Consider the following 13,124-nt stretch of genomic DNA (forward strand, 5'->3'; position numbering starts at 1 on the left):
CCCACTGCAGAGAGGTCTTTCCTGGCCAGACCTGGATGAGGGGGTGATAAAGGGACTATATGTGTGTGTGTGGGTGGGGGGGGGGCGCGTGTTCTCGCCCCTCCTCTGCCACCACGGGGGTGGGGCTCATACTCCTCGTCCCCCCTCCTCCCCCCGAGGGTGGGGTTGGATTCCGTCCCCTCCCCCAGACCATTGGGTGGCGTTCTGGCCCCTTCCCCTCTGCGGCGGGACTAGGAGGTGGGGGGCCCGCCCGCCCCAGGAAGCGTGGCGGGTGCCAGGCGGGCGAGGCGCCGGCCGGTGAGCGCGGCTGGCTGGAGCCAGGAGCTGACCTTACGGGCGCCGGGGCAGCTGTTCGCGATGCACATCTGGCAGCGGCGCCCGCGCCCCGCCCCCGCGCTGGCCGGGCGCTACCTTCCAGGAATGCGCGCATCTGGGGAGCGAGGCTGCAGCAGCCGGCGCCCCCTCCGGCGCCGGGCCTGGGCCTGGGCCTGGGCCTGGGGCTGAGGCTGGGCCTGGGGCTGCGGCTGGGGCTGGGGCTGGGGCTGGGGCTGGTGCCGCCCCTCCCGGATTTCCCGGCTCCTCCCTCCCTGGCTGCCTGTGTGGCTCCCGGGCAGGCTGTAAGCTGGGCCACCGGACCGGAAAAGAGGGCGGCCGGGCTCGGGTTTCTCCTGGTGGGGGCTGGGACCGGCTCTTGGGGCCCCCATAGTACGGAGGGAGAAACTGAGGCCCGGAGGGGTGAAGGGCCGGGTCCTAGGGCACCTTGGCTGGCCCCCGTGGTGCGAGCTGTGGCACAACAGATGCTGACTTCTGTGTAAAAGTCAAATAAGGATCTGAGTGTGGTCAAGTCCACAGAGCTTCATTTTCACATCCCCCAAGTTGCATGGCCCTGGCTGGGTCTGGGCCTCTGGCCCAGTGGGCTAAAAACTCTGAGACTTGGGGTCCCACTGGGGGCATAGGAATGAGCGGAGGCAAGCACATCATGTGTGACTCCCGTTGTGGGGAGAACGGCCTGTGCATAGGCCTGGGTGTGGGTACCTTCCGTGTGTCTCATGGTGTGGAGAGAGAACAGTGTGTGCATAGGCCTGGGGGTGGGTTGGGCCAGCTTGAAGGCTGTGAATGCCTGCTCTTGGGTCCCAACAGCCTGTATTTCTTTGGACTTTGTGGTTGAGTCATAGGGAGCCATTGAAGGTTCCTGAGCAGGAGAGTGGCCTGTGGAGTCCTGGCCAAAGTTCTCTCTCCAGCCTGGGTAGAGTGCCCCAGAGATTATGAGGGAACAACTCCTGCTGCCTGTAATACCTCTAAGGTGTGCCTCCCCTGTACCTACAAGGCCCCCTGGGACCTTGGGACCTCTGCCTGGCTCCCCCCGACCATCCCTTCCTTAGACCTCACAACTTCCAGCCACCTGCCCTTGCAGAACTCCCCGAATGAACTGTGAGTCACTTGCACCCTGAGTGCATTTATGACCACTGTCACCACCCCAAGGGTTTCCATTTCAAGCTGGTGTCTCACAGAGGATGAAAGAGACTTCCAGAAAGAATAATGGGCTGGGCGCCGTGGCTCATGCCTGTAATCTCAGCACTTTGGGAGGCCGAAGTGGGTGAATCACAAGGTCAGGAGTTTGAGACCAGCCTGGCCAACATGGTGAAACCCCGCCTCTACTAAAAATAGAAAAATTAGCAGGCGTGGTGGCGGTCGCCTGTAATCCCAGCTACTCGGGAGGCTGAGGCAGGAGAATGACTTGTACCCGGGAGCTGGAGGTTGCAGTTTGCTGAGATCGCGCCACTGCACTCCAGCCTGGGCGACAGAGCAAGAGACTGTCTCAGAATAAATGAATGAATAAATAAATAAAACAATAGAAATGGCATTAGAGCCCTACACCTGGTAGAGGAGGTGTGAGCTGAGCACGGTGCCCGCTGCAGGGGACTGTTCAGTGACTGGAGGGCAGAGGTGGGGCTACAGTCCTGGGAGGGAGTTCCGAGCTGGGGATTGACAGCACGTGCTTGGGGTTTGGCTTCTCCGTAAGGTACTGGGGAGCCACTGAAAGTGAGTGAATGAGGCTGGGCACGGTGGCTCACACCTGTAATCCCAGCACTTTGGGAGGCCGAGGCGGGCAGATCACGCGGTCAGGAGATTGAGACCATCTTGGCTAACAAGGTGAAACCCCGTCTCTACTAAAAGTACAAAAAATTAGCCAGGGGTGGTGGCGGGCGCCTGTAGTCCCAGCTACTTGGGAGGCTGAGGCAGGAGAATGGCGTGAACCCAGGAGGCGGAGCTTGTAGTGAGCCAAGATCGCGCCACCGCACTCCAGTCTGGGCGACAGAGCAAGACTCTGTCCCCCGCAAAAAAAAAGAAAAAAAAAAAGAAAGTGAGTGAATGAAACCTCCCTGTGGCAAGACGGGCCTATCTGCTGCTCCAACCCCAGCGTCATGAACAGGGCCTGGGACATCGTAGGAGTTTGCTCATCACTAGTTGAATGAATGAATGAATGAATGAATGAGTGAAGGGTTCTGAGGGAAGAATGCAGAGGGCTTGGCCCTGGGTAGGGGCAGTGGAGAGAGGAGGGCAGTGAGGAGCTGAGGCTGGAGGTTCTGCCTTGGGCCACATGGCCTGTGGTGCTGTTGGACCCAACACAGGCCTGGGGGTGGGTGGGTGCAGGAAGACCCCGGGAGGTGGCGTCCTGCTATTGATGTTTTCTCTGCCCAGGTTCTCCCCACACACGGGGTTAGGGAGGGTGTGCCAGCCTGCCCTCACATCCCCAGACAGAGTCCCCCTCCAGCATCTGCTGCCTACCTCCTTCTCCCTCAGTGCCTGTTTGTTTTTCTTCCAGAACCATCGCCTCTCACCAAGGCAGCCATCCAAGGGGGGCGGTGTTCCGGAGACATCCTCTGCCCCCCGCACCCCTGCAGCGGTAGCCTGGTGGGGGCTGGTGCTGCAGTTTCGTCAGCCCTTGGCTCCGGGCTCTGCAGGCGGAATCCCGAGCCTGCGTGAGGGCCGCCCTGGCCTCGGCGTGTGTCCTGGGAAGGGGCGTTGGAAGCCTCTCTGCTTGTCTTGGCTGCCTCTGCTCGCTCAGCTCTGCCCCCACTGGGGCCGCCAGCCTCTGCACTCCCCCTTGGAGGAGCCAGGCAGGGTTTGGGTCGGAGCTGGGGTAGAGGAAGGCTCCAGGCGGCTTGCCGCAGGATCTCCCTGCTGTAGCCAGCCCTTGGGGCGCTCAGCAGGGTGGGGGACCATCAGTCAGGGTGGGGGACCCTCAGTCAGGATAGGGGGGCTCCTGTTCTTTCCACTGCCACCAAGCTACCCTTCCCCTAACTTATTCATCCACAGGGCTCCTTCCTTCCAGTCCTTCCTCCAACAGATACTTAATGAGCATCTACTGTGTGCTAGACCTGCTGACGCCACCTGCACACCCGGGCCTGGGGAGGACAGTGGCATTTTCTTTGTTTTTTTTTGAGATGGAGCCTCGTTCTTGCTCACACTGGAGTGCAGTGGTGCGATCTCGGCTCACTGCAACCTCTGCCTCCCGGGTTCAAGCAATTCTCCTGCCTCAGCCTCCCGAGCAGCTGGGATTATAGGCACCCGCCACCACGCCCCCCTAATTTGTTTTTGTATTTTTGGTGGAGTTGAGGTTTCACCATGTTGGCCAGGCTGGTCTCGAACTCCCGACCTCAAGTGATCCACCCACCTCTGCCTCCCAAAGTACTGGGATTATGGGCATGAGTCACCACGCCAGGCCTGGCAGTGGCCTTTTTTAGCGAAAGTCATTGGAAGGTGTTAATGGGGGCGGTGGCCAGAGCTGGGCATTTAAAGACCCTCCTAGTGCAAGGTGGCTGCCTCTGGGGACAAGCAGGTATTGAGCACCAGGTGTGAGGCAGGGCATGTGAGCAAAGCTGGCAGAGATCCCTCCCTGGGGAGCTTGGTGGAAGGCGCTGCAGGGGTGAGGAGGACCGTCTGCTTCAAGAGCTCTGAGAAGGGACACTGACCTGTCCTTGCACGGCTGCCCTGAGTCCCCCTGGGCTCCACCTGCAAGCCTTTCCTGGAGCCTGGCCTCAGGATCCTGGTGCTACCATGCCTTCAGGACTAAGCACCTTCCCACCTAACCTGGGCTGCAGGAGATGAGGCTGGGAGAGGTGAGAGCTGGAGAGCCAGGGCGGGCCCCACGGCTCCCAGCTCCTAGTGAGGGCTCTTCCGGGTAACTCCATACCCGACCTTGGGGAGACACAGGGACACAGCCAGGGTTGGGGGTCCCACCGGGGCTGTGATTCTGCCATATTGTCATGATTCAATAGAAATCTCTTCTCCATCTTGATCACCCCAGTTCTGGATCCTGAAATCCGATACTGAAATCCTGAAAATCTCAGATCCCAAACCAACGGAAAGTCTGATTTGCCACCTTAGGTCTGGAAATGTTTTTGGTCTTGGTCTGCTGGTAACGGGGTGCATCCTTCTGCATCAGAGCATCAGGCCTGACATTGAACTGTGTGCGCTTCACTGTAAATGTCTGTGGCCTGGTAGAACAACCCTGGCTCAAGGGCCTAGAGTGAGCCTGCAGCCCTGTGGCGCCGCCAGTGCGTGGCTTTAAGCAAGTTACTGAATCTCTCTGAGCCTCAACTTGCTCATCTGTAAAGTGGGACATAGGTGTTGTTCTCCAAGCGTTCTTGTGAAGATGAAATAAGTTAATAGGAATGTGATGCTTGGCCGTTGTCACTGTTCTGATGACACGTGGGTGCCCAGGGTGTTCTCTGTACCTGTTCCCTCCTCCCCAGTCATTAGCCCAGGGGCTTCCCCAGCTGGAATCCCACACCTTCCCTGCTGGTTCTGGGTCCCTTCCCCAGCCGCACAGCCACAGCCAGAGCCCCTCAGTTGGCTCAGGCCCCCTCAGGGTAGACCAGACCCCCACCAAGGGGGAGGGGGGTGGAGTGTCAGCATCCGGCACTTCCGACCCCTGCATTCCTCATCAACGTCTCTCCTGGGGCTGCTGCTGGCCTTTCCTGCCAGCTTCCCTGTTGGGGTTCGCAGCCCAGGAGTCCTGGCAGGGGCGAGGGGCCGGTCACTGAGGCTCTCTGAGCCTCACCTGGAGTGAGGGGAAGATGGTAGTTCCCGCTGCTAGGGGTCTCCCAGACTTAAACGAGATGGTGCATGGAGGGGTCATGAAGAGCTGGAGCCTGGGTGCGCCCTGCGAGGTTCCTCGGGGCCACTGTTGGCATGCTGCCCATAAGGACTGCCATTGTCCTGAGCAGAGTGACAGTTGAGGGTGTCAGAATGGGCGCTCAGGACTTCGTCTCTCTTGGCTGAATTGTATTCAGAGGCTGGTGCTGGGTTGGGGGGTCCCAGGTAATTATGATTCCAGCACAGTCGGGGAGCAGAGAGGCTGGACGCAGGACCCAGGGAAGCAGAAACACGCCTTTCTGTAAGTCATGGAGAGATGTGTTCCCATCCTGCTAGCTCCCTCCTAGAAAAAATGCCCCCTTGAAAGCTGCCACCCTAGGCCTTGGTGTCTCTCAGTCCAGTCTGGAGGCTGGAGGAGGCCGTTTCCATCTTCCATGGATGCCTGTCATGGTTTTCAAGGCTTTAGCCAGGCTTCCCCGTGAAACGAGCCTCCTTCTTCCTCTGAGACAGACCTGAGCTTGAACCTGGCTCTGATACTTCCTAGCTGCGTGACCTTGGGCTCGGCTGCGTGACCTTGGGCTCGGCTGCGAGACCTTGGGCTCGTTGCTTCTCCTCCCAGAGCCTCAGTTCTTTGTGTCTGTAAAAGCAGGGCTGATGGTTTTCACCCTAGAGGGCTGTGGTGAGGAGTCGGTGCTGGGGCACCCAGCATAGGCCCTGGCACCTGGCAGTTGCCCCCTGAGGGTGTGCTTCCCTGTGCTACCTCCCAGGCCCTCTCTGTCTCTGCCCCACCTTTTCCCAAGTGGGCATTGCATGGCTTCATGCTGGTAGCTTGCAGTCTGCTGTGGTGGGAGTGTTTACACCAGGGAAATGGGCGGGTACTGCAAGCTGGAGTTGGTTATTTTTTTTCAGAAAGCTGGTGGTTAAACCTTTACCTCACACCGCAGGGAGGGGGCCTTGGTGAGTCTCTGAATAAACTCTGTCAATTACCCGGTGTGGTCTCCCAGTGCCTGGATTTAGGAATATGTCACTCAGCTAGTAAGCCACCGAACAGGGATTCAAACTCAGGTCTGCATGACTCTGAAACCCTGCGCTTTATGTACTCAGCCCTCCTAGGGTGGTGTGGGAGGGCTTCCTGGAGGCGGTGTGGCTCCCAGCTGGGATTCAAAGGACTTTATTTCCCAGATCTCTCCTCCTGTACTCACTTTAGGACTAAGAGTGGCCGATGCCCTTTATGGTATCTCATGGCCTACACAATAGACCCCCTCCCCGGGCACCCCCAGCCCACACTGGGCATCCTGTCCTCCCTTCATGGTGGCTGCCGGGAGGGGAGGGAGCTGGCCCCTCCGAAGCTGCTCATCTCTCCCAGTTGCTGTCTGCACCTGGGGTCAGCCAGGTTCCCTTGCTCCCTGCTACACCGTCCTGGTGTCCCTGCCTCTGCCCTGAGCCCTCCACTCTCAGGAGCTGCAAGAGTCCCACGTCCCCAAGTGATTTGTGCTGGTGCTCACTGGCATTACAGATTCACTGCCCATCACACGCCAGGCATCTCGCCCTGTGGATGCCTGCAGAGGCCCTCGCTTCCTCTCCTGGCACCAAAGAAGAGTGTAATGCCTTTCTGTCCACAAGCTTCAGTATCCTCTGCTCACCCCAGCCCCCCTGCAAGCAGCCGCCCTCCTGCTTCCCCTCTGCCAGAGGCTCAGCAGCCCTCGGGGTCTGTCCCTGCTGGCCAGGGCCTGCAAACAGGTGATGTGTCACCCTCCCCGCACCCCCATGCAGGAAGGGGTGGGTCAGTGTGGTCAGCAGGACCACGTGGAGCCAAGCAGTTGGTGAAGGCCACCTTCCATCTTTCTGTCGGTGCCCCGCAGGGCAGGGCCTGTGCTCGGCCACTTTGCACTGGTCCTTCTTCTAAACTCATAGCAGCACAGTGTGGACAGCGTTGTCACCAGCGCTTTACAGATGGGTGCACTGAGGCCCATCCAGGACAGCCGTGCCTGCTGGGCTTGAGGGAGCAGCCCCTGCCCAAAGCAGGGAGGGCTGGATGGGGACTCTGGAAACAGGAGGTATACGACAGCGACCCCGACCCCACTGCTCCTTAGAAATGCTGGCCCTGCTCCTGGGGATTCTGATGTAATTGGCTTGGGGTGGAGCCTGGGCTTGGACATCTTTGCAAAGTTCTCTAGGTGACCCTGTTTTATTTAATTAAATTAAATTAATTAATTTATTTATTTGAGACAAGGTCTTGCTCTGTCATCTAGGCTGGAGTGCAGTAGTGTGATCATGGCTCACTGCAGCCTTGACTTCTCGGGCTCAAGTGATCCTCCCACCCCAGCCTCCTGAGTAGCTGAGACTACAGGTGCACACCACCAAGTCCAGCTAATTTTTAAAAATTTTTACAGAGATGGGGTCTCGCTGTGTTGCCCAGGCTGGTCACGGACTCCTAGGCTCAAGCAATCCTCCTTCCTTGGCTTCCCAAAGTGCTGGGATTACAGGCATAAGCCTCTGCGCCCATCCCTCAGGTGAGTAACATGCAGCCCCCGAGGAGACACACAAATGTATCAGTTTGGAAAGTGTGTGGTCCTGATACAAATGACCACACACTTTGGCACTTAAAACAACACACATTTATTATCCTTCAGTTCTGCAAGTCCAAAGTGCAAAATCATTCTTGCTGGGCCGAGCTACAGTCAAGGTGCCAGTGGAGCAGGTTCTTTCTGGGGGCTACAGGGGAGAATCTCTTTGCTTCTAAAGGGTGCCTGTGAGGGGAAGGACACGGGCAGTGGGGCTTACCCCAAACGGGGACACACACTCCTTTGCTCACAGTTTTGCTGCTGAAACTGTGTCCCTGGCATCCCGGCCTGTGTTGAAGAAGGCGGTGGCGTGTGGCTGCTTGCTGCCGGGTGCACGCAGCGATCCCAGGAGCCTTGCACATGCCCTCCTGGAAGGCGGGGCTGGGAAATAAACCACAGGAGCCAAGTGTTGGCCTCTATGCAGCAGCAGGAGCTGGGGTGGAAAGAGCTCCCAGAGATGTTGTGAGTGGAGGAGCACGGAGCAGGCTTTGTGTCTGGTGCGCCGTGGTTTGTCCTGGCAGGTGAGCATGTGTGTGGACGCATCTGTGCATGTGTGGACGCGTGGCAGATTTGGGGAACATGCACAGGAAGGATCCACCATGGTCATTTTTGGGGAGTCCAAGCAACCTTCACTTTTAACTGTTTCTACTGTTTGGCTTTTAAAAAATCATGTGTTGGCCAGGCACGGTGGCTCACGCCTGTAATCGCAGCACTTTGGGAGGCCGAGGTGGGCGGATCACCTGAAGTCAGGAGTTTGAGACCAGCCTGGCCAACATAGAGAAACCCCATCTCCACTAAAAATACAAAATTAGCCAGGTGTGGTGGCACATACCTGTAATCCCAGCTACTCAGGAGGCTGAGGTAGGAGAATTGCTTGAACCTGGGAGGCAGAGGTTGCCGTGAGCGGAGATTGCACCATTGCACTCCAGCTTGGGCAACAAGAGCAAGACTCTGACTCCAAAAAAAAGTGGGGGGCATTAAGGTTGCAGGTGGAATTAAGGCTGTGAATTAACCCTGGATTATGCTGGTGGGCCCAGTGTAATCACAGCGTCCTTGTAAGTGGAGAGGAGGCAGAAGAGAGTCAGAGAGGTGGGATGCCAGAGGCACTCACCTGGCATCGCTGGCTTTGAAGGTGGAAGGGAGGGGCCGTGAGCCAAGGGATGTAGGTGGCTTCTAGAAGCTGGAAAAGAAACGAGATGTTTCTCTAGAGCCTCCAGAAGGAGCACAGCCCTCCTGAGCCCTTGATTTTAGCCCAGGAGACCTTATCAGACTTCTGACCTCCAGATGCATAAGAAAATTAATTTGTGTTTTAATAAGAAAAATTAATTTTAGGACACTAAGTTGGTATCATTTGTTACAACAGCCACAGGAAATGAATGCAACTATACGTGAAAAACCAGGCCAGGTGCAGTGGCTCACGCATGTAATCCTAGCACGATGGGAGGCTGAGGCAGGAGGATCGCTTGAGCCCAGGAGTTCGAGGCCAGCCTGGGCAACATAGTGAGACCCCAATCTCTACCAAAAATACAAAATTATCTGGGGCTGGGTGCAATTGCTCACACCTATAATCCCAGCACTTTGGGAGGCCGAGGCCGGTGGATCACTTGAGGTCAGGTGTTCAAGACCAGCCTGGCCAACATGGTGAAATCCTGTCTCTACTAAAAATACAAAAATTAGCCGTGCGTGATGGCACATGCCTGTAGTCCCAGCTACTCAAGAGGCTGAGGCAGGAGAATCGCTTGAACCCGGGAGGCAGAGGTTGCAGTGAGCTGAGATCGTGCCACTGTACTCCAGCCTGGGCAACAGAGTGAGACTTCATCTCAAAAAAAAAAAAAAAAAATTTTTTTTCCGAGTGTGGTGGCACATGCCTGTAGTCCCAGCTACTTAGGAGGCTGAGGTGGGAGGACGGCTTGAGCCCAGGAGTTCAGGGCTGCAGTAAGCTATGATTGTATCACTGTACTCCAGCCTGGGTGATAGAGTGAGACCCTGTCTCAAGAAACAAAACAAAACAAAACAAAACACCCCTGGCTCCACTCACCATAAATAAAAGGTAGCCAGTGAGAAATTTCTGATATTATAGCTTCTGATATCTCTCAGCCGCAGCCCTTGCCCTGCTATTAAAGCTGGAGATTGGCTAGTATTCGAGAGGCACTGAAGTCAGAGCATCACCCTCCCGAGACTTTCTGCCGGGAGCATGGTGAAGGGAAGTTCGCTTGCTGTGTGTGGACGTCATGCTGCGTTTCCACCTGGTCCAGGGGCAGAGCCTCTGCCTGACACATACCCATTCATGTGTCCTATTATTATTGTTGCTGTCGTCATTGTCCCGTCATCCTTGGAGAAGGAGCTTCTTCCTGACTGGCTGTGTTTAAAAGCACTTCCCCTCTTTTCTTGCCCCTTTTGATTGGATTTCTTGGATATAAAGTTTCATGCCCTAATCTTGTTGAAAAGCGGTTACATTAAACGTTTTAACTCTTAAAATAGTCCTTACTATCTCTTCCAGTTAATTGTATGAACCGGACTCGTAACAGATTGGGGACCTTTAATAGAAAAAAAGTGTCCTCTGATTAGAGGGGGACGGCAAGACTGTGGGCACCGCCTGGGGGGTGCCTTGTCCAGCTCTGGCAGTTCCAGGACATGGACTCTAGGTGGCACCAAAACCCAACCCTGAACTTTCCTGGTCCTCACTGGGAGTTCTGCCTCCTGCGTGTGCGTGTGTGTGTGTGCGTGTGTGTCGAGGTGTCTACGTGTGTGTGGGGAGGTGTCTGCGTGTGTTAGTTGGGGAGCAGGGCGTGTGTGTGTGGGGGGCTGTCTGGGTGTGTTAGTGGGGAGGCAAGGGGTGTGTGCGTGTGTGTGTGTTGGGGGTTGTCTGCATGTGTTAGTGTGCAGAGCATCTGTGTGTGACTGTGTGAATGCTTGTGAGTTGCAGGAAACCTGAGACCACACACACTAGCACCCGTGTTTTCCTGGGGAGTTTGGTGGACATGGGGTGCCGTGGAGGCCCTACTGCAGGATGCCCCAGCTTCAGGGACCCTACACACACACACACACACACACACACACACACACACACGCACACCACACGCTGTCTACACACACACACACACACCCCACACGCTGTCTACACACACCCCACACGCTGTCTACACACACACACACACACACACCCCCCACACGCTGTCTACACACACACACACACACACCACACGCTGTCTACACACACACCCCACACGCTGTCTACACACACACACACACACCCCATGCTCTCTACACACACACACACACACACACACACCCCACACGCTGCACACACACACACACACACACTCTACACACCCCCCCCCCCCCGACGCTGTCTGCAGGAGATGTGATTAGCAGCTGTGCAGGAGCAGCCGTGATTTATGTCCCCAGTCGTCTAATTATCCCCGGCCCTGGAGGAGGAGAAATGAGGCGCTTTGCAGGGCTGGGAGCCTGAAATCTCAGCAGGGGTTCTGGGCACCAGGCCCACCCCACTCCCACCCTCGGAGGCCCCAGAACCCTAGTGGACTAGAGAGGGCCTGGGGGGCAGCCAAAGGCACTGTGCCTGGAAGCAATGAAATGGGCACCCTCTGGGGGAGCCTCCCCCCTGGATGTCTGTGGCCCCTACTGAGCACCAGAGGAAGGGGGTGCTCAGGAAATCAGCCCCTTTGTCACGGAGTCCTGGCTGGTTTGTCCCCCACACCATAGCCCAGGGGAGCTTGGTAGAGGGGCTAGGTTGGGTTACCCCCTGCTAATGTTGCCAAGGCGCTTCCCAGTGCTCTTAGAATACAATTTTAAGTGGCTCGGGGGTGGGGGTCCCTAGAGGGGGGCACCGCCTTCTTCTCTGACCCATCTCGTCACCTGCCCCACCCCCCAGGGCTGCTGCTGCTGCTCTTTGCTGTCCCGGAAGCTTTCCTTGACCGCCTCTGGTACACCTCTCTCTTTCTTCTGTTTCCACCCAGGCTCTCATCTGTGGTTTCTCTGGTCACAAGTGTCCTGGTCTTGATTTCGCCACGGGCTGGATGCTCTGAATGGGAGGGTGTGTGTCTCCCTGTCCATGCTCTGTCCCCAGCACCTAGAAAAGACCTAGTGGGTAGGGAGTGCTCCACAATTGTGTGTTGTTTGGACACATAATTGTCCATTGGACATTGGATGGACAATGGATGGGAAACCCACCGCAGCACTGGGAGATCCTCAGAGCTCAGTGGGGTCCCTGAGCAGAGGAAGGTGGCTTGGAGGACTGTACAGGCTCCAGAAGGCAGTGGCTGCATGCAGGGACCGGGCCTGAGCCAGAGAGGAGGACGGGATGAGGGCCGGACCCGCACGTCATGCTCCTCAGAGGAGGCCTGGACCTGGCTGACCATACAGGGTCTTCTCTCTCCTAAGCCTGGCTCAAGCCACTGCCACCACTGCCACTTCTCCCACCCTGGGTGCAAGGACCTGCCTGTCCTGGGGTTTAGCAGCAGCAGCGTTGGGGCTCCCCGGCCAGCTGGCCCTGGGCAGGTCATTCACAGCCCCTGCCTCTCATCTTTCACTTCATTGCTGCCCCTGGGGCTGCTGTGAGCACTCAGGGAGGGAACGCGGGGAGGGAGGGGCTGGGCACATGGGGGACATGCCAGGGGGCTGGTCTTTGAGTGCAGTGGGGACACCTGAGCCCCGTTCTGAACAGTGGCACAGGCCCTGCATCCAAGCATGCACCTGAAGGCCCTTTCTGCAAGGAGGCCTGGGCTCTGCCAGATGGTGGCTTCCATCTTGTCACTTCTGGCTGTAGGAATTCCTCGGGGACAAATTGCCCAGTGCTGTTGGGCTCAGGACAGCTAGGGGTGACCCTGGCTTTAAAAGAGCTTACTTAAGGCCTGCCTGGTGCCCCCAGCTCTGTCCACCTGCCTGTGGGGCTGAGAGTGGGTGGGGTGCGTAGAGCTGCAGGTACAAATGGAGAAGGATGGGCAGGACCCTGCTGCTCATCTTGTGGGGACCCCGCTGGGCAGGTGGGCTTGGGACCCCCAGATCCCTGTACCCCTCAGAGAGTCTTCACAGCTGCCTACTCCGCCTCGGCCTCCCTCTGCCTCCCTTTACCTTTCCCCTTCTCTGACCGTTTGTCTTCCCGCCTCTGCCCGGTTTGGATTCTGGGTCCTTCTGTGTCCTGTGCTGCCATCCTCAGTAGCTCTGTCTTTCTCTCTCCTTTTGTCTATCTCTCCCCTTTTTTCCCTCTTCTTTCTGTTTCCTCTGTCTCTTTTCTCTTCCCGCATCTCTCTCTCCCTTTTTCTCTCACGCTCCCTCCTTTTTCCCTCCGTCTTTCTCTCTCCCTCCCTTTCTCTGCCTCTTCCTCCCTCTTTGCCTCTCTCTCTCTCTCTCTCTGAGCAGCTGTTACCTAATAGGCTGTTAATGATGATACAGTAAGTGGAAGGCAGAGTCCTGGGGGAGCCGCCATGATCTGTGTAA

General features: G+C 57.1%; 1 protein-coding gene across 4 annotated transcripts in view, besides 3 other annotated features; it reads left to right on the forward strand.

Moving 5' to 3' along the window:
* Positions 1–13,124, forward strand: part of GSE1 (Gse1 coiled-coil protein) — a 506,689-nt gene that overhangs the window by 65,990 nt on the left and 427,575 nt on the right. The gene's annotated exons all lie outside the window — the stretch shown is intronic.
* Positions 266–585: a silencer, noted in NCBI's record as "silent region_7803". NCBI's record gives its function as "represses an Ori minimal core promoter by ATAC-STARR-seq in GM12878 lymphoblastoid cells {active_cell/tissue: GM12878}" and the evidence as "EXISTENCE:reporter gene assay evidence [ECO:0000049][PMID:35858748]".
* Positions 3,300–3,875: an enhancer, noted in NCBI's record as "H3K4me1 hESC enhancer chr16:85272407-85272982 (GRCh37/hg19 assembly coordinates)". NCBI's record gives its function as "activates a minimal SCP1, AML or CMV promoter by ChIP-STARR-seq in primed H9 embryonic stem cells {active_cell/tissue: H9 hESC(primed)}" and the evidence as "EXISTENCE:reporter gene assay evidence [ECO:0000049][PMID:30033119]".
* Positions 5,210–5,914: an enhancer, noted in NCBI's record as "H3K27ac-H3K4me1 hESC enhancer chr16:85274317-85275021 (GRCh37/hg19 assembly coordinates)". NCBI's record gives its function as "activates a minimal SCP1, AML or CMV promoter by ChIP-STARR-seq in naive H9 embryonic stem cells {active_cell/tissue: H9 hESC(naive)}" and the evidence as "EXISTENCE:reporter gene assay evidence [ECO:0000049][PMID:30033119]".

The sequence above is a fragment of the Homo sapiens genome, chromosome 16, assembly GCF_000001405.40.
Source record: "Homo sapiens chromosome 16, GRCh38.p14 Primary Assembly".
Classification (NCBI taxonomy): domain Eukaryota; kingdom Metazoa; phylum Chordata; class Mammalia; order Primates; family Hominidae; genus Homo; species Homo sapiens.